This window comes from Homo sapiens, chromosome 1 (genome assembly GCF_000001405.40).
Source record: "Homo sapiens chromosome 1, GRCh38.p14 Primary Assembly".
NCBI lineage: Eukaryota > Metazoa > Chordata > Mammalia > Primates > Hominidae > Homo > Homo sapiens.
Window position 1 is genome coordinate 8,031,574 of NC_000001.11, and position 22,839 is coordinate 8,054,412.

The 22,839-nt window shown below is 41.9% G+C and overlaps 1 long non-coding RNA gene across 1 annotated transcript in view, besides 2 other annotated features; it reads left to right on the forward strand.

Moving 5' to 3' along the window:
* Positions 1-22,839, forward strand: part of ERRFI1-DT (ERRFI1 divergent transcript) — a 100,578-nt gene that overhangs the window by 5,081 nt on the left and 72,658 nt on the right. The gene's annotated exons all lie outside the window — the stretch shown is intronic.
* Positions 9,036-9,330: a silencer, noted in NCBI's record as "tiled region #2737; HepG2 Repressive DNase matched - State 5:Enh". NCBI's record gives its function as "represses a minimal TATA promoter and a strong SV40 promoter by Sharpr-MPRA in HepG2 cells {active_cell/tissue: HepG2}" and the evidence as "EXISTENCE:reporter gene assay evidence [ECO:0000049][PMID:27701403]".
* Positions 14,214-15,413: an enhancer, noted in NCBI's record as "MED14-independent group 3 enhancer chr1:8105847-8107046 (GRCh37/hg19 assembly coordinates)". NCBI's record gives its function as "activates an origin of replication core promoter dependent on BRD2, BRD4, P300/CBP and CDK7 cofactors, and independent of MED14, by STARR-seq in HCT116 cells {active_cell/tissue: HCT116}" and the evidence as "EXISTENCE:reporter gene assay evidence [ECO:0000049][PMID:35650434]".

Below are 22,839 nucleotides of genomic sequence, written 5' to 3' on the forward strand. Positions count from 1 at the left end.
AAAAGAAAACTTTGAGATGCTTACTCCTTGGCTTAGTTCTAAAATAATTTGGTATTATTTTACCAAGTTGATGCTTTGGAGCAGGTATTTTCTTTTATTCTCGATAAAGAAGAACAAGAAAAGTGGTGTAGGAATGAAAGGCATACGCTCTGGACTCAGGGTTTCGGTTTGAACACCGGCTGTTCCACTTCGGGCAAATCACTTAACCTCTTGAGGCCTTGTAATATGGGGATAAGAGTGGTTCCTATTGGACAGATAATTGAGATAGTACATGTAAAAGAGCTTATAATATTGTCTAGCACAATCAGGGTTCAATAAATGTTAGATTTTTTATTATTATTATTTGAGACCAAGGCTTGCTGTGTTACCCCAGCTGGAGTGCAATGGCGTGATCTTGGCTCACTGCAGCCTCCGCATCCTGGGTTCAAGTGATTCTTGTGCCTCAGCCTCCTGAGTAGCTGGGACTACAGGCGTGTGCTACCATGCCTGGCTAATTTTTGTATTTTTAGTAGAGACAGGTTTTCGCCATGTTGGCCAGGCTGGTCTTGAACTCCTGGCCTCAAGTGATCTGCCCGCCTTGGCCTCCTAAAGTGTTGGGATGACAGGCGTGAGCAACCGCGCCTGGCCTGTTTTTATTATTGTTATTCTCGTTGTTGTGGTCACATATTCTTTGGGAGATTTTTGAACATCTGTGATTGCAAGATTGAAAAATTCTTGATTGCTTGATAGTATACATGATTTAATTAGTCCAGAAGGCTGTTTCCTTAAATCCCAGGGGGCATAAATGACTTATAAGATAAAATGTCTTAATTGACTCTGCAGTATTCTACTTAAGAGACTATAAAACCTTAAGACAAAGAAAGGGCTGTGTATTAGTTGATAGCACCAGCAATCCATAGGGGAGATATGCTAAGGGCACAGAGAATCTTCTTAGCATTCCTGAAGGCAAGCTCACAAGTAACCGTAAGTCTGTGAGCAGTTACTTCTAAGCCCATAGTCATAAACATCCATAGACATGTTTCCTTTAAAAAACACATTTAGCCTATACATAAATCTATTTAACATAAAGTCCTTGCAGAACCTTTTGATAGGAACAGCTTTACAATTTTCTCTGGAATGTATAAGGACAACAGATATACTCAATGACTTGATGCAGTAATGTTGTAAAAGCTGAATGAATGCCAACACTTCTTGGGATTTCTAACTGCTCATTCATACATGTATTCATTTATCCATCAATAAATGTCTATTGAGGCTGGGCAGGGTGGCTCACGCCTGTAATCCCAGGACTTTGGGAGGCCGAGGCAGGTGGATCACCTGAGGTAAGGAGTTCAAGACCAGCCTGACCAACATGGCGAAACCCCATCTCTGCTAAAAATACAAAGTTAGCTGGGAATGGTGGTGGGCGCCTGTAATCCCAGCTACTCGGGAGACTGAGGCAGGAGAATCACTTGAACCCGGGAGGCGGAGGTTGCAGTGAGCTGAGATCGCGCCACTGCACTCTAACCTGGGCAACAAGAGCAAAACTCCATCTAAAAAAAAATTACATATATATATATGGCTCCTCCTATGTGACAGTCCTATGCTAGTATCCAGCAGCATGCAGGAGTTTCCATCACTGTCTTTAGTGAGCTTGCAGTGCAGTGGGAGCTATAGGTAAGAACACAGGAAGCTGTGATGTCATGCTGTGATAGGAGCCTGTGGGGTGCTATGGGGGTACGTAGGATAGACACCAACCGCGAGAATTGAAAGGTGATTCAGAGTGGACAGGGGGACAACAAAGGAAGAAGGATGTTCTTAGGAGGGTAAAGAGCAAATGTTCAGAATGTGACATGTCCGAGGAAGCCAAATTCACTGTAAATGAAGGTAAGGAATGAGGCTGGAGAGGTTAACTAGAGGCCAGATTTTACTTGACTGCGGAAGTGTTAAGAAGTTTGGACTTCCTGCTAAAAGTAGAGTAGTCATTAACAAGGTTCCGGTGGACAGCGAAAGTTGACATTTGCATTTTGGAGAGATTCTTTTGTTGCCAGAGGCATTGTATGACCAGAAAGTTTAGAACTTGGGTCTGGGGAGTGCTGGGCCATCTTCTTAGTTCTGAGTTATCATTTCCGGCTAGGGCATCAATTCTCCTAACTCGGGGACACAGACATTTGCACCAGTCTTTGGCAGTAATTATGTTTATTTTACTTTATTTTAAAAATTTATTTATTTATTTATTGTAGATGGAGTCTTCCTCTGTTGCCCAGGTTGGAGTGCAGTAGGACCATCTTGGCTCACTGCAACCTCCATCTCCTGGGTTCAAGCAATTCTTCTGCCTTAGCTTCCTGAGTAGCTGGAATTACAGGCACCCGCGACCGTGCCCAACCAATTTTTGTATTTTTAGTAAAGATGGGGTTTCACCATGTTGGCCGGAGTGGTCTTGAACTCCTGACCTCAAGTGATCTGCCCACCTCGGTCTCCCAAAGTACTGGGATTACAGGTGTGAACCACCACACCTGGCCCCCTGGCAGGAATTATGAAACAGACAGGATAAAAGGAAGGGGATGTAGAGAGAAATATGCACAGATTTTTGGAGAGGCATTGCCTTTCAGAGAATGTTAGGTACAAAAAGCTGCTTTTTAATTTTAAAACAAGCTTTTACATAATTGAAGTTAGAAAGAACAAAACAACACAGTTAAACTATCGAACAATTTAAGGAGAGTAAAACATTTGTGTACCAAGGTATGCAAATTTGGGTATAATCATTAAAGAAACAAATTTACCAGGCCAGTAGAGGAACACAAACTGGGTAAAATTATTAAAGTATCAGTGTCAAGGCCGGGCGCTGTGGCTCAAGCCTGTAATCCCAACATTGTGGGAGGCCAGGGCAGGAGGGTTGTTTGAGCCCAGGAGTTCAAGACCAGCCTGGGCAACATGTTGAAACCCTCTGTCTACAAAGAATACAAAAATGAGCTGGGCATGGTGGTGCGTGCCTGTAGTCCCAGCTGCTCAGGAGGCTGAGGTGGGAGGATTGCTTGAGCCCAGGAGGTTGAGGATGCAATGAGCTGAGATCGCTCCATTACATTCCAGCCTGGGTGACAGAATAAGACTCTGTCTCAAAAAATAAAATAAAAAATAAAGTATCAGTGTTAGTTGAGTTTTACTGAACTATTCATATTTGCATTTTGCTTTTTTAAAAAAATTATTGAGTAGGAAAATGATTTTTAGCCATGTCACAGAACCATAAAGCTGTGAATTAGGTTTAATTTTTATTATTTTTATTTTTTGAGCCAGAGTCTCACTCTGTGCCCAGGCTGGAGTGCAGCAGTGCAAACACTCCCTGCAGCCTTGATCCTGGGCTCTAGCGATCCTCCCGCCTCAGCCTCCAGAGTAGTTGGGGCCACAGGTGTGGCCTACGTGGTGTGCCACCATGTCCCACTACTGTTTAAAAAAACTTTTTTTTTTTTTTTTTTTTGTAGAGATGGCATCTTGCCATGTCTCCCAGGCTGGTCTCGAATTCTTGGGCTCAAGGGATACTTCCGCCTTGACCTCCCAAAGTGCTGGGATTACAGGTGTGAGCCACCATGCTCGGCTGAATTAGGTTGTAAAATTAATGTATGTAGTTCATTTTCTGTACTTCTGTTAATTCTCCATTCCTACGACTGTCACACTAAACTGTTTTCTTTAAGAAGCTAGTGGGTCCTCTTCTGCTGTGTTGATTTTAGTGAGGTCCTGGAGCGAGTTTGCCTTCCAGCATCTGAAAGGGAGAAGGCACCGCTTCAGCTGGAGAGACCACTGGGGAAGCTGGGTCCCCATAGAACAAAGTATGAGTCAGGAGCAAGCAGGTGGGGGAAGCGTTCAGTGAAGAGGTGGTGAATGTAGGAATTTGTTGCATTCATGGCACATGGTAAGTCCTGTGTGCCCAGTAGAAAAACTTGTCTTACCTAAGACAAAAGTCTTTCGTAAGAGGAATCTCAAAGCACTCACTCATTTATTCAACCAGTACTGACAAACTGCACCTGCATGCCAGGCACTGTCCTACCACTCACTGAGTGTGCATTGGTGAACAAAATGGGTCTAACCCTTGCCTCTGTGAAACTTACAGTCTAATGGGGAAGAAATATGATACATAATTAGCAGATATGTAAGTGTGATGGTTAATAGCATCAACTTGATTGGATTGAAGGATACAGAGTATGGATCCTGGGTGTGTCTGTGAGGGTGTTGCCAAAGGAGATTCACATTTGAGTCAGTGGGCTGGGAAAGGCAGACCCACCGTTAATCTGGGTGAGCACAATCAAATCAGCTGCCAGCAAGGCAAGAATATAAACAGGCAGAAACATGTGAAAAGAGAGACTGGCCTAGCCTCCCAGCCTTAGTCTTTCTCCCGTGCTGGATGCTTCCTGCCCTCGAACATCGGACTCCAAGTTCTTCAGTTTTGGAACTTGGACTGGCTCTGCTTGCTCCTCAGCCTGCAGATGGCCTGTTGTGGGACCTTGTGATGATGTGAGTTAATACTTAATAAACTCCCATATATATATATATATATGTATATATATATGTATATATATATTCCATGAGTTCTGTCCCTCTAGAGTACCGTAACTAATACAGTAAGTCATTCTAAAAGTAGTGTGCTCTCAGAAAGTCCTGAAACAGAGGGCAATGGGGTGGTGGCGGGAGATGAGTTTTTAGACTGAGTGGACAGGGAAGGCAACCTTGGGGGAGATGACATGTCGAGACCTGAAGTGTGAGAAGGAGCTGTCCAGGTGAAAGCCTGGGGAAAGTACACTTTGGGTACAGAAACAGCAGGAATAAAGGCCAGAAAATAGGAGAGAACTTGGTGTGTTGGAGAAACTTGGAGGAGGTCAGTCTGAAATCACGTAGGAAGCTATTGCCTGTGTCTAAGTGAGAACTGATGGCTTGAGGGAGAGTTGTGGTACTTGGAATGGAGCAGAGCAAAAAGGTTCCACGAACACTGATCCTAGGTTTACATTTTGGATTTAGGCCGGGCGCAGTGGCTCACGCCTGTAATTCCAGCACTTTCAGAGGCTGAGGCAGGAGGATCACTTGAGGTCAGGAGTTCAAGATCAGCCTGGCCAACATGGTGAAACCCCGTCTCTACTAAAAATACAAAAATTAGCTGGGCGTGGTGGCGCCCGCCTGTAGTCCCAGCTCCCAGCTACTTGGGAGGCTGAGGTGGGAAGATCACTTGAGCCTAGAAGGTCGAGGCTGCAGTGAGTGGAGATCATGCCACTACACTTCAACCTAGGTGGTGGAGTGAGAACCTGTCTCAAAAAATTAAAATAAAATAAATAAATTTTGGATCTAGAATGGACAGGACTTAATGGTAACTTGCACATGAGAAATGAAGGAAAAATAAAATAAATGATGATTCCAGCTTTCTGGCTTAAATAACTGGGTGAACGATGGTGCAGTAGTTTACTGAGTAGGAGATGGAGGGAGCTGGGCATTGGAGTATGGGAGATGGTACCCCCTGATAAACAGGGGGGCTTATAACTTAGCTGAAGACCTAATGGCAAGAGAGATATGAAGCACAGTAAGTTTTCCAAAATGCTTCATTTCAGCAGTCCTGTGGAAAATGTGGGTAGAGATGGGCAACCTGGTTTCATACTACTCAAGAAAGCTTGTGCAGAGATCCCTGTGGTTAGTAACCTGGATTCTAGGGATGAAGGGCAGCTCACTCAGAGGCTCAGCTCTTTGGTCTTCAGCCACTGAGGTTAACAGAAACAGTGGCTGGCTGGCAGTCTTATTTTGGGAAATACAGGTTCCTATCCATGATCTGTCTCTTGGAGTCAACAACATTGCAAAAGCAACAGATATCTAATGGAGACACCACTAGAACTCAGGACTTTGGGTTTAATACTCCTTTTATAAGAAAGGATATAAATTTCAAATCATTTATGAAGGTCAGATGAATATTGATTGATCCTTGAATTAAATTTGCCAATGCATCTGGAACCATAATTTCTTTTGAGTTGTTTCTGACCTCTTCCTCAGTCCATCTAAGACTGTGGGATTAAAGTAATCTTCTTTCCAAATTATACTTTTAAAAATAATGACTGTAAATGCCTGATATCTTAAAGGTGTCAGATTTTTTTTTTTTTTTTTTTTTTTTTTTTTTTTTTTTTTTTTTTTTTTTTTTGAGATAGAGCCTTGCTCTGTCGCCCAGGCTGGAGTGCAGCGGCAATTTCAGCTGACTGCAACCTCTGCTGCCTGGGTTCAAGTGATTCTCATGCCTCAGCCTCCCGAGTAGCTGGGACTACAAGCGCCCGCTGCCACAATTGGCTAATGTTTGTATTTTCAGTAGAGACAGGGTTTCACCATGTTGGCCAGGCTGGTCTCCAATTCCTGACTTCAAGTGATCCACCTGCTTCAGCCTCCCAAAGTGCTGGGATTACAGGCTTGAGCCACCGCGCCCAGCCAGATTTTTTTTTTTTCCTAGAACAGGCGTGTGTGTGTAATTAAGACACATGACCATTCCTGTGTTGTTTTCTCTTGTAAAATAAGTGTAATTAAGTCATTAACCTTAGGGAGCTGTGATTCATAAAAACTGGGAAAAAAATGTAACAAAATCTTAGTTTTCACTGACTTAGAAATATAATAAAATCGACTTCCTATTAGTGCACACCATCCTGAGGCATCAGAAGGTACCCCAGGACATCCATGGTAACCATTACATTCATTCAACAAACATTTACTGAGTATCTTACTACATATATTTCTAATGGTTTCTACTTTTTCAAAGTAAAATCCAGAAAAATTTCTAGTCATTTGAACTTTGCTTCTATTTGAAGTTTTCTTTAATTCTTTATATGCATTTGTCCTGTCTCATTAGAGTATATGATCCTAGTGAAGATTATGATTTCTTTTGTATCTCTTATAGCACACAGCACCACTGTTGACTGTCTTGGCCATAAGCTTAAACTATAGGATGGAAAATTCAGGTGGATACAAACAGCCTAATTGATATAAAAATGGAAAAGAAGCCTCATCAGACCAAGGCTGTAGATTCTACCTCCTTAAAATTTTTCGAGAATCAAATAAACTCTTTGAACCAGTATTTTTACCAGCACTCTAAGGAAATAGGCCAGGCACAGTGGCTCACGCCTGTAATCCCAGCACTTTGGGAGGCTGAGGCAGGTGAATCACTTGAGGTCAGGAGTTCAAAACCAACCTGGCCAACATGGTGAAACCCCATATCTACTAAAAATACAAAAATTAGCTGGACATGATGGCTTGTGCCTGTAATCCCTACTCAGGAGGCCGAGGCACAAGAATCGCTTGAACCTGGGAGGTGTAGGTTGCAGTGAGCAGAGATCCCGCTGCTGCACTCAGCCTGGGCGACAGAGTGAGACTCCATCTCAAAAACAGCAAAAAACTGAGGAAGTAATCACAATACAGAAAGCTTTATACCCAAAGAGGTTCAATATGGTGTTATTCATAAGAGTGAAAAACTGGCCTGGTAGTAGGACAACTGGCCAAGTAAAATACAGACTATTCATATGCTAATGAGAATTTTATAATTAGGAGTAATATGATTATGAACATTTTGTAATTGAGAATAATGCCTAATAATAGCTAACACTTTTGTGGCATTTACTAAGAACTAGATACTGTTCTAAGGCTTGACATATATTAACTTAACTTTCACAACAACCCTACGAGGTACATCCTATCGTTGTACCCAGTTTACAAGGTGAGGTTAGGTCATGTGCTCAAAGTCACACAGCTAGGAACTAGATTCCAACCTAGGCAGTTAGTTTCCTTTTAACCACCACAAATTCTTTCATGATCATGTTCAGTGAAAAAAGTCAAACACAGTACCTGGCTGACAAAACAATCTGTACAACAAATTTCTGTGACATAAGTTTACCTATAACACAAACCTGCACATGTACCCCGAACCTAAAATAAAAGTTTTTTTAAAAAGTAGAATACAAAATTGAGTATGGAATATCTATCCTCATGTTATCAGTTAGGACTTTTTTTTAGTGACAGGAAACCCAACTCAAATTGGATAAATAAAAAAAGGAATTCAGTGGATCAGTACTGGAGAAGACTAGGATGTCGCTGCACACATTGCTTTGTTCACATGTTCAGATGACATCATGCAGGGCAAGACTTTCTCTAACTTTTGGCTTTATCCATGTTTGTGTTGACTTCATTTTGAGGTTCCTTGGTGGCATGATGGCTGCCAGCAAACCCTGGGATCATCTAATTAAAAATTTTAAAAACAACTTATTTAATAGTTTGAACAAAAACCCTGGGCCTGATTCTCACAAATCGAAACTGAAGGCCAGGGGAGTGCAATGTTCCAATTGGCCAAGCCTGAATGTGGGACCTCATTTGGAACCATGGGGGGAGAATCAAATCCATCTGAGGCTCAAGTGCAGAGGAGGACCAAGAGTAGAGGAGGACTAAGAGTAGAGGAGGTGATAGCTTCCCAGAGTAAGACTGAAGAATGGACTAGGAAAAAAAGGAAATGGATATTGTCAGCATACATCAAGTGTCCACAACAGCCATTTTCTTATGTACAGCATTTGACTCTGTTCACTTACAAATTTCTTAAAGTTTTCTGTTCTTTGACCTCGGTAACACTACACGTCACACCTTTTGATACCTCTCCTCAGTCCTGCTCGGTCATTTATTCTTCTCTTCCTTGTATGCTTAGATGTTGGCGTCTTCGAGGCTTTCTTTACTTATTCCTTAGTTTAGTCATCTCATTCTATTCCTGAGCTTTTATTATGATGTCTATGTAAATTACACCAAAATCTAATTGTAGTCCCATTTTCTCTCCTGGCCTGTAGTCCCTTTTTTTTTTTTCTCCTGGCCTTTAATCCCATATTTTTAATTTCTTACCAGTGCATCTCTCCTGGATATTTGTTGCAGACTGGCTTCTTGGCAAGCAGTCTTTGAGATGGAGATGAACATGGAGGACATTTATTAGAGTGTTGAAGGAAGGGTGAGGAAAAAGAATTGGGCAGAGGGAGAAGTTAAGTTGTGATCCATGTACGACATAGGCCTTAGCTAACTACATGCAAAGCTCTGGAACAGGATTGACCCTTTGGAGTTGTCCTAACTTGGGCAAGAGAGCTGGACCTTTTTTCCTCTAACTCTTATTGGTCAGTCATTGATATGGCTTGCCTTTGGAAGGAAGAGTAAGCTTGGAAAAGGCAGTTTTCTTCAGCTGAGTCACTCTCCAAACAGGGTTGACAGCTAAGGGCCATGTTCTGGCAGCATTCCCAGGAGCTTGAGGAATAAGGCTTTTCATAACTCATTGGGGATCTGGGTAGCTCATCATGGAAACTTCCTTTTGTTCTCTCTGTTGTTAGTTTATCCTTCCTCACTCCATTTTCCTAGTAGTTTTGTTGATGTTTCTACTTTGATATTTTGAGGCTATATTATTCAGAGCATACATGTTTAGAATTGTTAAATCTGTCTGATAAATCCAACATTTTGTTAATTTGTAGTAAGCCTCTATCTCTAGTAATAATTTTTGCATTAAAGTCTATTTTGTTTGATACTTCTTTTCTTTACTTTCTTTCTTTCTTTTTTTGTTTTGTCTTGTTTTGTTTTGGGACAAAGTCTCACTCTGTGGCTTAGGCTGGACTGCAGTGGCATGATCTTAGCTCACTGTAACCTATACCTCCTGGGTTTAAGCGATTCTTGTGTCTCAGCCATCTGAGTATCTGGGATTACAGGTGTGTGCCACCATGCCCAGCTAATTTTTTGTATTTTTAGTAGAGACAGAGTTTTGCCATGTTGGCCAGGCTGGTCTCAAACTCCTGGTCTTGAGTGATCTGCTTGCCTCAGCCTCCCAAAGTGATGGGATTATAGGCGTGAGAGACCACGCCTGGCCTGTTTGATATTTCTGGAGTCACAATGGCTTTCTTTTGGTTAGTACTTTGGTGTATTTTTTTCTAAAATTTTCTTTTTACTCTTTGGGTGTCCTTAAGTTTTTGGTCTGTTTTATAAACAGCGCAGAGCTGGATTAAAAAAATCTTTGTCTTCCATTGGTGAGTGTAGTTCACTTATAATTATTATGATTACTGATATATTTTACTGATAATTTCAATCATTTATACCATGCTATTTTGAACTGTCTATTTGTCTTGATTTTAAGGGTTTTTCTTTCTCATTTCTTGCATCTTTTCTTTACTCGTTGCATTTTTTTCTCATCTCATGCTCCCAATTTGGAAGTTATACCCTCTATTTCTCTTTTTTGGTGGTTACCTAGAAATTGTGAAATGCTTAACATAGCAAAGTCTAAAGCTAGTATCTTTACTCTCCTGAAAAATACAAGAAACACTTAAGAACATGTTAATTCACATCACTGCCTCCTAATTTTCATGTTCTTCCACCTCCCAATTTTCATGTTTTTGTCCAGAATTTAAACTTCTGTTTTTTTTTTTTGTTTGTTTTGTTTTTTTTTGAGATGGAGTCTTGCTCTGTCACCAGGCTGGAGTGCAGTGGCGAGATCTTGGCTCACTGCAACCTCTGCCTCCTGGGTTCAAGTGATTCTCCTGCCTCAGCCTCCCTAGAAGCTGGGACTACAAGTGTGCACCACCACCACGCCCAGCTAATTTTTATATTTTTAGTAGAGACGGAGTTTCGTTGTTTCTTTCCCTTTCTTTTTTCTCCTGCTATAACTTTGATTAGATAAGTATTAGATCTTTTTACTCTGTCCTTGGTGTCTTTTAACTCTTTTGTATTTTCTATTTCTTTCTCTTTTTGTGCTACATTTTGTATAGTTTCTTCAAATCTATTTTCCAGTTTGCTATTGCTCTCTTCAGCTATATCTGCTACTTAACATCAATTGGCTTTATAATGTGAGTTATTATATTTGTCATTTTTAGATGTATTTTTTTCAAATGCACCTAAAAATAATCACATATCAAAAATAATCAAATACATCTTGATTATTTTTGATAATTTTTTCCTTCTCTGATACTTTATTTCTTTAATTACTGTAAACAAAATTTTTTATTTTTATAGATTAAGGGGTACAAGAGCAGCTTTCTTACATGGATATATTGTGTAACAGTGATGTCTGGGCTTTTAGTGTACCCATCACCTGAAGAGTAAAATATTGTACCAATAGGTAAATAGTGAAAATTATCATTAGGTAATTTTTTATCCCTCACCCACCCCTCTCGTCTTCTTATCTTTGGAGTCTCCAGTGTCTATTATTCCCCTCTGTATGTCCATGTGTAGCCTTTATAGTAAACCTTATATTTTATATTTGTTATCTAATAATTCCAACATCTGAGGTCTTTGTGGGTTTACTTAGGCAGTTTGTTTATTCTGCTTAGTTTTACTTTCAGTAAACGTCATTCTCAGCAGTGTTTCCTCATGCGTTTTGTGCTTTTTGATTCAAAGCTTATATTCTTTGGGACTTTATTTGTGAGAAGTCAAGGATTGGAGTTGGTTTATGCTAGACACCTAGAGCCACTTTTAGCCAGATCACTTCAATAAACTAAATTTTTGGCTAGAAGTGTTTTTTGGGCCAGCACACAGGTATCTCTCTCTCTCTCTCTCTCTCTCTCTCTCTCTCTCTCTCTCTCTGTTTTTTGAGTTCGAGTTTTGCTGTTGTTGCCCAGGCTTGAGTGCAGTGGCGTGATCTTGGCTCACTGCAACCTCCGCCTCCTGGGTTCAAGCGATTTTCCTGCCTCAGCCTCCTGAGTAGCTGGAATTACAGGTGCTCACCACCATGCCTGGGCAATTTTTTGTACTTTTAATAGAGACGGGGTTTCACCGTGTTGGCCAGGCTGGTCTCAAACTCCTGACCTTAGGTGATCCACCTGCCTTGGCCTCCCAAAGTGCTGGAATTATAGGTGTGAACCACTGCGCCTGGCCCAGATATCTCATTACTGTGTAAGGATGAACTTTTGGTGAAGAATTCTCAGGGAAACTTTTTTCTTTCTATCACAGCCAAGACATGAGTAAGCAAGTATTCCCTCTATCCCCTTCTTCAGGGCAAACATTTTCTAGGGTCCCAACTTTATGCAGCCTTTCTTTTGGCATCCCACTCGATTAGGTCCCAGGCTTTGTCTCCCAAATCCCACAAACTCAACCTACTAAAACTCAAGGCTAAGCATCAGCAAACTTTTTCTGTCAGGGGCCAGATGTAAACGTTGTAGGCTTTGTGGGCCATATGGTTTCTCTCACAACTACTCATCTCTGTGGTTGTAATATGAAAGCAGCCATAGACAATACATAAATTAATAGGAGTGGTTGTGTTCCAATAAAACTTTATTTACAACAATGTGTGACAAGCTGGATGTGGCCCACAGTTTGCTGACTCCTGCTCTAGGCCATCGGGAATTGGCAGATGCCCTCAGGGAAGATGCCAACTTCATCATTTTCTTGCCCAGTTGGTGTCATGCTTTCTCTCTCTGTCATGCCTCTGAGGATTTCACTTACTATTTTGTCAGTTCAGTCATACCTTTATAAAGATTTAAAAAATATTTTGCTTGCAGTGTTGAAGTATTCCATACCAGGAGGGTTTCTATGGATATCACCAGGCAGGAGTGCAGTGGCAGGATCTTGGCTTACTGCAAACTCCGCCTCCTGGGTTCAAGCGATTCTCCTGCCTCAGCCTCCTGAGTAGCTGGGATTACAGGTGTGTGCCACCATGCCCAGCTAATTTTTGTATTTTTAGTAGAGACAGGGTTTCACCATGTTGACCAGGATGGTCTCGATCACTTGACCTCGTGATCCACCCACCTCGGCCTCCCAAAGTGCTGGGATTACAGGCATGAGCCACTATGCCCGGCCGGAGTTACCAGTTTTTGAGAGGAAGACCACAAAGGTAAAATTCCATTTTCATGACATCGTATCATGGATAAATGCAGTAACATGATTTATCACCATTGATGTTGACCTTGATCACCTTGCTGAGAAATACGTAGCCTTCTAAGGCCTACATAAACATAATCAGTGATGTTCAGGTCAACTATTCTGAACAAAATTTGAAGGGTTGAGTCATTGAATCACCATGAAATCTACAACAGAAAACTGTCATATTCATTGCAATTCATGAACCCAAATACATATATTGATGGGACTTCTTTAAGCATAAGTTTAATTTGGTATAGTGTGAGAGCCGGACGTGGTGGTGTACACCTGTAGTCCCAGCTACTTGTGAGGTTGATGTGGGAAGATTGCTTGAGCTCGGGAATCCAAGGCTGTAGCACACCATGATGGAGGCTGTGAATAGCCACTGCACTCCTGCCAGGGCAACATAATGAGACACCCATCTCTAAAAAACGATACAAGTATGCAGTGTGTTTTTGGTGATGCTGTGAACTAGAAATTAATGTTAGAACAGAGTCTTTTCCTTTTTTATCTTTCTGTTGCCCAAGCTGGAGTGCAATGGCGCGATCTCAGCTCACTGCAACCTCTGCCTCCCAGGTACAAGCGATTCTCCTGTCTCAGCCGTCCAAGTAGCTCAGATCGCAGGCATGCGCCACCACACCTGGCTATTTTTTTTTTGTATTTAGTAGAGGCAGGGTTTCACCATATTAGTCAGGCTGGTCGTAAACTCCTGACCTCAGGTGATCCACCTGCCTCAGCCTCCCAAAGTGCTGGGATTACAGGCGTGAGCCACTGCACCCAGCCTAGAACAGAGTCTTAAGATCTGTTCTTTAATGCAGGCTGAGGCAGGCGGATCATGAGGTCAGGAGATCAAGACCATCCTGGCTAACACTATGAAACCCCGTCTCTACTAAAAATACAAAAAATTAGCCAGGTGTGGTGGCGGGCGCCTGTAGTCCCAGCTACTCGGGAGGCTGAGGCAGGAGAATGGCGTGAATCCGGGAGGCGGAGCTTGCAGTGAGCTGAGATCGCGCCACTGTACTCCAGCCTGGGCGACAGAGCGGGACTCCATCTCAGGAAAAAAAAAAAAATCTGTTCTTTAAAAGTTTTGGCATATTATTCTGACTGCAAAAATTTTTGCATGTATGCATGCGGAGGTGAGAACATCTATATGTATCCATATGTCAGATATAGTCCTTGATTTTCTAGAATTGTTTTGCAAAGGAACACATCTTCTCTAGAAATGATTTAGCTGTCCGATGACACTGATTCTTGTTTCCATTCACTGAATAAGCCTTTTGAATGTTTGAACGGTTAAATTTTCCGCAACCTATTTAATCTTTTCCAGCAGCCAATAAAAAAGTTTAGTAAAATGAGGCCAGGCGCAGTGGCTCACGCCTGTAATCTCAGCACTTTGGGAGGCCGAGGCAGGCGGATCACCTGAGGTCGGGAGTTCAAGACCAGCCTGACCAAGATGGAGAAACTCCGTCTCTACTAAAAACAGAAAATTAGCTGGGAGTAGTGGCACATGCCTATAATCCCAGCTACTTGGGAGGCTGAGGCAGGAGAATCGCTAGAACCCGGGAGGCGGAGGTTGCGGTGAGCTGAGATCGCGCCATTGCACTCCAGCCTGGGCAATAAGAGCGAAACTCTGTCTCAAAAAAAAAAAAAAAAAGAAAGTTTAGTAAAGTGAATCTGAATGATTTATTTGTACAGAAAGAATGAATTTCCTCTTAGTCATACATCCGACACCCACACGATACCTTGTCATTTTCAGAAGAAATCTGATGCCCAATTAGTGTGTTTTAATTTAGCCAGTGATTTTCCATCTGGCTCTAATGTGTATTCTGGAGGGTGGACTAATATGGAGTTCAATGGTTTGTTAGGTTTTGAGATGGAGTTATTGGCTACAAAGAACATTTCACAGAAGCAGGACTTCATAGATTCTGAGTTTTTCCCCTTGTTTTGGTTAGTTGCAGGATGAATGGGGACAGAAGAAGCAGATGCTACTTATTTTGCGATTACATGCCTTAATATAAATAGTTTAAAATGAGGAAAAACCTTTACAAAAATAGATGACAGAGCAAACTGTTTTCTTGTCTAGCGAAATTTCTGGCAAATAGGTAAATGCTTTGTTATTCTAGGATATAAGTCACAGATTTTAGATAAGCATATTTTGCACAAATAACAAGTTCTCTTTTTAAAAGTTTTAGGCCGGGCGTGGTGGCGCATGCCTGTAATGCCAGCACTTTGGGCGGCCGAGGTGGGCGGATCACTTGAGGCCAGGAGTTGAGACTATCCTGGCCAACATGGTGAAACCCCGTTTCTACTAAAAATACAAAAATTAGCAGTATGGTGGCGCACTCACGTAGTCCCAGCTACTCGGGAGGCTGAGCAAAAGAATTGCTTGAACCCAGGAGATGAAGGTTGCAGTGAGCCGAGATCGCGCCATTGCACTGCAGCCTGGGTGACACAGAGACTGTCTCAAACAAGAAACAAAAAACAAAAAACAAACAAAAAAAAGTTTTGTCATTTTTGCAGATACATACACAGAGAGAGAGAGAAAGAGATCGATCTTGTCAACTTTTAAGACTTCCCTGTGTTGAGTACATTCATATACTAATATTGAAATTAATGATTAAATTCAACCCACAGAAAAATCTAAGACTAAATAAGCCTATTATAAAATTGAAGTTTTCAGTAAGGGTGTTGATTCCTATTATAAAAATAGAGGAGATTCCAGAAGTAAGGGCTCCTGGACAAAATATTCTGTTTTCCATTTTGTGGAATGGATTGTTTCAGTCCATTTCCAACAGGTTCGCATTCTGTTTTCATGTTAGGTTTTCTGACCTTCAGTGGTTTTGTTTTCATGTACTTGAGCATATGGTCCCAGACAGCTGACATTGTTCATGTCCTTTACTTCCCTAAGAATTACACAACCTTCCCAGGCTTTCTCATCTCCAGCAGTTTTGTCACATTGCTGAGTAACGTCCACCCTTGGTAATCTCTTAACATTATTTCCATTCTGTATGTAGACAACAAATTAGCATTTATGACCTAGGTTTTCTGTTTTTCATGAAGGTATCAGACAATCTCAAATGTCTGTGGAATGTTACGCTTGACTAGGAAGGTGTAAATTGTTTCTTTTGATAGTTCTTAATTTCAAATGATTATGAATTCATTATTTTTAATGAGAGAAAGGTGATTGTATACCTGCAAAACTTTTAAACATCGACCTTTGGTAAAACACAATTCCAATTGTGTTTAATCATGACTACTTAGATACAACTGAACAAGCCCCAGGCACAGAAGTTACGACTAAAACATTCAGCCCTTCCAGGAACAGAACCAGAAATTTCTCCATATGTCTGTAGACGCTGAACTTCAGGATGTCTGTGAATATTTTCTGTGTTCCACTGTCCCCTCAAGTTTGTTTCCCAGCCATGGAAAATGCCCATGAGAAAGAGTTGTGCAATTGCTAACTGTTAGTCACTTTATATTTCCTGTATCCCCTATTTAATTTCCCTGGTAGCTGGCAATAACATCTAGGATTTAAGTTGCTGAAGGGTATTTGGGAAAACCCACATAAATGTCTAAGATGAGGTTTGGCAAGCAATGAATCTTGGTGACATAACAATATTATAACTAGAGATTTCATCAGACAGAGGAGACAGGAAATCCCTGACACTGCCAAACACCCACTTAAACTCATTTGAGTCCGAGGACCATCGTTTGTTAAAAATGGATTTTACACAGTTTTTAATTTGATGAGGCTGCTGAAATAAAAATTTGGACCTGAATTTTAGATGCAATGAGATTTCTCAAAGGGACTTTGGGAAAAAAGAAAAGAAAGAAAAGAAAAAAAGAACTTATGTAAAGTTCCCGTAAGGAGAGCAACAGCTGCTATGGAATAGCCAAGCCCTGCTCCACCAGGAAGGGGCCTGAGCTTTGGCAAGGATACACTTAGCCTGACCAATCCAGAGACTCAGCCTCCACTACCAGTGGGATGACGGATTTCCCAGTCGTACTTTTCTCACACCCAAGAACCTAATGGACATAATTTTAAGTTTAAGGCAGCATTATCTATGGGCACAAAAATAATTAGAAAGGATAAATAAGATCTAGTACTTGATAGCACAACAGGGTGACTACAGTCAATAATAATTTAATTCTACAGTTTAAAATAACTAAAGACCCCCTCCCATGCCATTACCTTCAGACTTCTCAACCCCTCCCTGCAAAAAAGAAAAAATAATAACTAAAAGAGTATAATTGGATTGTTTGTAACACAAAGGATAAACGCTTGAGGTGATGAATACCTCATTTACCCTGATGTGATTATTACACACTGTAGGCCTGTACCAAAATTTTTCATGTACCCCATAAATATATATACCTACTATGTACCCACAAAAATTAAAAATTAAAAAAATACAGCAGTATCTAAATGGAGGTATTATAGTTATCTTTTCCACTGTGAATTCACTGGTCTGAATTTTATCCCAGCCTAGATATTGTTTAATAGTTTGTAAGTTTTAACTGCTTCAAGGTAATTTTTGTTCATGTTTTGTTTTCACTGTAGTCTTGCTCAACACATATGATCAGATTCTGTTCTAGAATTTGTTAACTTTTTATTAGAGGGGCATGTACACTTGAAATCTATTGTCCTATTCTTTACTTTTCTCAAGCTATGCCTGCCAATTCTTTTTTGTTTGTTTGATTTTTTTTGTTTGTTTGTTTTTATTATACTTTAAGTTCTAGGGTACATGTGCACAATGTGCAGGTTTGTTACCTATGTATACGTGTGCCATGTTGGTGTGCTGCACCCATTAACTCGTCATTTACATTAGGTATATCTCCTAATGCTATCCCTCCCCCCTTCCCCCACCCCATGACAGGCCCCGGTGTGTGATGTTCCCCACCCTGTGTCCAAGTGTTCTCATTGTTCAGTTCCCACCTATGAGTGGGAACATGCGGCGTTTGGTTTTCTGTCCTTGTGATAGTTTGCTCAGAATGATGTTTTCCAGCTTCATCCATGTCCCTACAAAGGACATGAACTCATCCTTTTTTATGGCTGCATAGTATTCCATGGTGTATATGTGCCACATTTTCTTAATTGAGTCTATCATTGATGGACATTTGGGTTGGTTCCAAGTCTTTGCTATTGTGAATAGTGCCACAATAAACATACGTGTGCATGTATCTTTATAGCAGCATGATTTATAATCCTTTGAGTATATACCCAGTAATGGGATGGCTGGGTCAAATGGTATTTCCAGTTCTAGATCCTTGAGGTATCGCCACACTGTCTTCCACAGTGGTTGAACTAGTTTACAGTCCCACCAACAGTGTAAAAGTGTTCCTATTTCTCCACATCCTCTCCGGCACCTAGTTTCCTGACTTTTTAATGATCGCCATTCTAACTGGTGTGAGATGGTATCTCATTGTGGTTTTGATTTGCATTTCTCTGATGTATGCCTGCCAATTCTGTTGTACTTATTGTATCATCCTGGCTAGCTACTTTCTTTGTCAAATTCTTTGATATTTAATTCTATCACTTTGATAAGTATTGAGGTCATCCATTACCATGATATATGTCTATTTATTCCATTTCCACTATTTCAGAGATTTTTATTATATGAATTGGATCATGAATTGAGTGTTACATTTGTATGATTTAATATTTTACCATTATTTGGCAATTTTATCTGCTGATGCTCCTTGCTATGGGCTTTGATTTAATCTCATACCACAGCGATCAGTTCTGCTCCTCCTCAGTTTGCACGATACCTTAGCCTGAAGACCATCATCTTACTTCAAAGGTTGGCATCTGTTTGTGTTTTCATAACTCCTGTAGACAGCAGATGACTGGGTTTTGCTGTATAGTGAGGTCTAGTGTATTTGTTCATAGTGTTATATGTAACTTATCTCCACATTTACATCTTTAGCCCCACTCCCTGGACTCCAGGTCTTGGATGTCTAATAGGTATCTGTATTAGAGATTTCTCTTTTTTTTTTTCTTTTTTTTTGAGATGGAATCTTGCTCAGTCAGCCAAGCTGGAGTGCAGTGGCACGATTTCGACTCACTGCAACCTCTGCCTCCTGGGTTCAAGCGATTCTACTGCCTCAGCCTCCCAGGCAGCTGGGATTACAGGCATGCCCCCACCATGCACAGCTAATTTTTGTATTTTTAGTAGAGATGGGGTTTCGCCATGTTGGCTGGGCGGGTCTTGAACTCCTGACCTCAGGTGGTCCTCCCACCTCGGCCTCCCAAATTGCTGGGGTTATAGGCGTGAGCCACCTTGCCCTGCCTAGACATTTCTTGTATTGATTTCTTAGGGCTGCTTTAAGAATGTACCACAGGCCAGGCGTGGTGGCTCACATGTGTAATCCTAGCACTTTGGGAGGCCGAGGTGGGCGGATCACAAAGTCAGGAGTTCGAGACTGGCCTGGGCAATATGGTGAAACCCCGTCTCCATTAAAAATACAAAAATTAGCGGGCGTGGTGGCACGTGCTTGTAGTTCCAGCTACTCAGGAGGCTGAGGCAGAGGAATTGCTTGAACCTGGGAGGCAGAGGTTGCAGTGAGTCAAGACTGCGCCACTGCACTCCAGCCTGGACAACAGAGTGAGACTCCATTGCAAACAAACAAACAAACAAACAAACAAACCATAAAAAGAATGTACCACAAATTGGGTGGCTTTAAACAACAGAAATTTATTCTTTCACAGCTTTGGAGGCCCGAAGTCCAAGATCAAGGTGTCACCAGGGCCATGCTGCACTCTGGGTGGAATCCTTCCTGGCCTCTTCTGGCTTCTGGCTGTGGCTGGCAATCTTGGCATTCCTTCACTTGCAGCTGCACGCCTCCCCCGCTGTGCCTCCATCTTCCCATGGTGCCAGTCATAGTGGATGAAGGGCCCATCCTACTCCAGAATGAGTTCATCTTTAAAAAATTGCATCTGTAAGACCCTATTTCCAAATAAGGTTACGTTGCGCAGGCCTGAGGGTTAGGGCTTCAGTATATTGTTTTGAGGGACGCAATTCAACCTCTAACAGCATCTGAAACTTCGCATGTCAAAAGAGAATTTTCAATTTCTACCCTGTACACCTGCTTCTCCTTCAGTGTTTCCCATTTCAGTAAATGGCAGCACCATCCACATGATTTCTCAGGCCAGATGCCATCCAGGAGTCAACTTTGACTTCTCTTTTTGTGCTCACACCCGAAATCCAATCCATCAGGGAGTCCCATCAGCCCACCTTCAAAATGTCTTTCCAGCCTCACTGCTTTTCACTACTCCATGGCACTGACCAAAGCCACTGTCCCCACTTGCTTGGAATACTTAGTAACCTCCTGTATAGTTTCCTTGCTTCCACACTGGCCAAGAATTTGCTCTCGGTTGTCCACAGAGCAGCCAGAGAGAATCTTTCAAGAACATGCCATTCCCCTGCTAAAACCCTCCCGTAGCTTCCCAGAACCATCAGAACACAAACTACACTGCCAGTCTTGGGCTCAGGGTGCTGCATTGTTTCACCCTCACCTCACTGCACTTTCCCCTCATTTTGCTGTTGTGTTCCTGACTTTCTGTGTGTGGGGGATTTCAAAAAATTTATTTTAATTTAACTTTTTTTGAGACGGAGTCTCACTCTGTCGCCCAGTCTGGAGTGCGGTGGTGCTATCTTGGCTTACTGCAACCTCCACCTCCCAAGTTCAAGCAATTCTCCTGCCTCAGCCTCCTGAGTAGCTGGGATTACAGGCACCCGCCACCACGCCACCATGCCCAGCTAATTTTTGTATTTTTAGTAAAGACAGGTTTTCACCATGTTGCCCAGGCTGGTCTCGAACTCCTGACCTCAGGTGATCCACCTGCCTTGGCCTCCCAAAGTGCCGGGATTACAGGCATGAGCCACCGCGCCGGCCTTTATTTCATTTTATTATTTTTTTTTTGACACAGGGTCTTGCTCTGTCGCCCAAGCTGGAGTGCAGCCGTACGATCACGGCTCGCTGCAGCCTCAACCTCCCAGGCTCAATCAATTCTTCAGCCTCAGTCTCTGAAGTAGCTGGGACCATAGGCGCATGCCACCACGCTTGGCTAATTTTTGAATTTTTTTTTTTTTTTGAGATGGAGTCTCGCTCTGTCGCCCAGGCTGGAGTGCAGTGGCACGATCTTGGCTCATTGCAACCTCTGCCTTCCAGGTTCAAGCAATTCTCCTGTCTCAGCCTCTGGTGTAGCTGGGACTACAGGCACTGGCCACCAGGCCCGGCTAATTTTTGTATTTTTAATAGAGATGTGGTTTCACCATATTGGTCAGGCTGGTCTCAAACTCCTGACCTCAGGTGATCCACCCACCTCAGCCTCCCAAAGTGCTGGGATTTCAGGCGTGAGCCACCGCACCCGGCCAATTTTTTATTTTTTTGTACAGACGAGGTCTCACTATGTTGCCCAGGCTGATCTTGAACTCCTGAGCTCAAGCAATCCTCCTGCCTCAGCCTCCCAAAGTGCTGGGATTACAGGCATGAGCCACGGCACCCAGCCCAAAAAAGTGCTTTAAGTAGTTTCATGGAGGCATAATTTACATACCATAAGATCCACTTGTTTTAAATCCACAATTCAAAGATTTTTAAATAAACTTGTAAAGTTGTGCAAATATCATCACAATCCAGTTGGAGAACATATCACCCCAAAAGATCCCCCATATCTGCATACATAATGAATTTTTTTAAGTTTCATTGAGGTATCTTCTTGTGGTTTTTATAAAAGATATTTTCTGGCTGGGCACTGTAATTCTAGCACTTTGGGAGGCCGAGATGGGTAGATCACCTGAGGTCAGGAGTTCGAGACCAGCCTGGCCAACATGGTGAAATCCCGTCTCTACCAAAACCACAAAAAATTAGCCAGGCGTGGTGTCATGCACCTGTAGTCCCAGCTACTCGGGAGGCTGAGGCAGGAGAATTGCTTGAACCCAGAAGGCAGAGGTTGCAGCGAGCTGAGATTGCACCACTGCACTCCAGCCTGGGTAACAGAACAGAGTGGGACTCCGTCTCAAAAAAAAAAAAAAAAAAAAAAAAAAGGTATTTTCTGCCTTGGGACCTTATTTGCTGGTCTCTTTGCCTCCAGCTTCTCATGGCTTACTTTGGCCCTTCAGTAATCTGCTCAAAACTTCCTTCTTCAAAGAAGCCTCTTCTGACCACCCTGTCTAAAATGGAAACTCTCATCTGCTTACACTTCATCCTGATCTTATGTCTGTTTGTGTGGTGTTGCTTTCCCCAGAAAGGACCATGAGAGCAGGAACTTTGTCTTGCATCTGATCATTACATCCCCAGGGCCTAGAACGGTGCCTGGGGTACAGAGGTGCCCAATAAATATGTGTTTAGTCAATGCAAGAATGAAGATAATTGGAGCATCGTCAATTTCCTTATCACTTTATTGCCAGTCTTTGCTTCTTTTAATTCACAATGTTTCTTTGAGTGAATGTCTTAGGGCTGCTTTAAGAATGTAAATTGGGTGGTTATTTTGACTTTTATGTCTGCTTTTCAATATTTCTACTTTTAATTTATTTCACTTACCTAAACCTCGATCTTCCTTCCAGGAAAGATAAATTTGGTTCATTCTAATCCTCTTTCTCCTCCAAATTGTGGTTTAGTAGTCTAACCTTCTTTTTGAAATTCTACACGTTTTATAGTTTTTACACTCTGTTTACTGATTGATAACTTGCTATTACTGGTTTTGCTTTTTATTGAGTTAATCTACTTATCTGTCTGCTTTCACATACTTTAAGCTGCCTATTTTATTCTGATTGTGATCAAAGCTGTCACTAGTGTTTATTGATTTTTTTCTGTTCTTTCTCTCTATTTTTACATTTCTACAACATGAAATTTGTACTCACTAGTCTTTCTTTTTTTTTTTTCTTGGCAGAGTCTCACTCTGTTGCTCAGGCTGGAGTGCAGTGACGTGATCTCAGCTTCTTGTGCTCAAGTGATCCTCCCACCTTAGCCTCCAAAGTAGCTGTGACCACTGGCGTG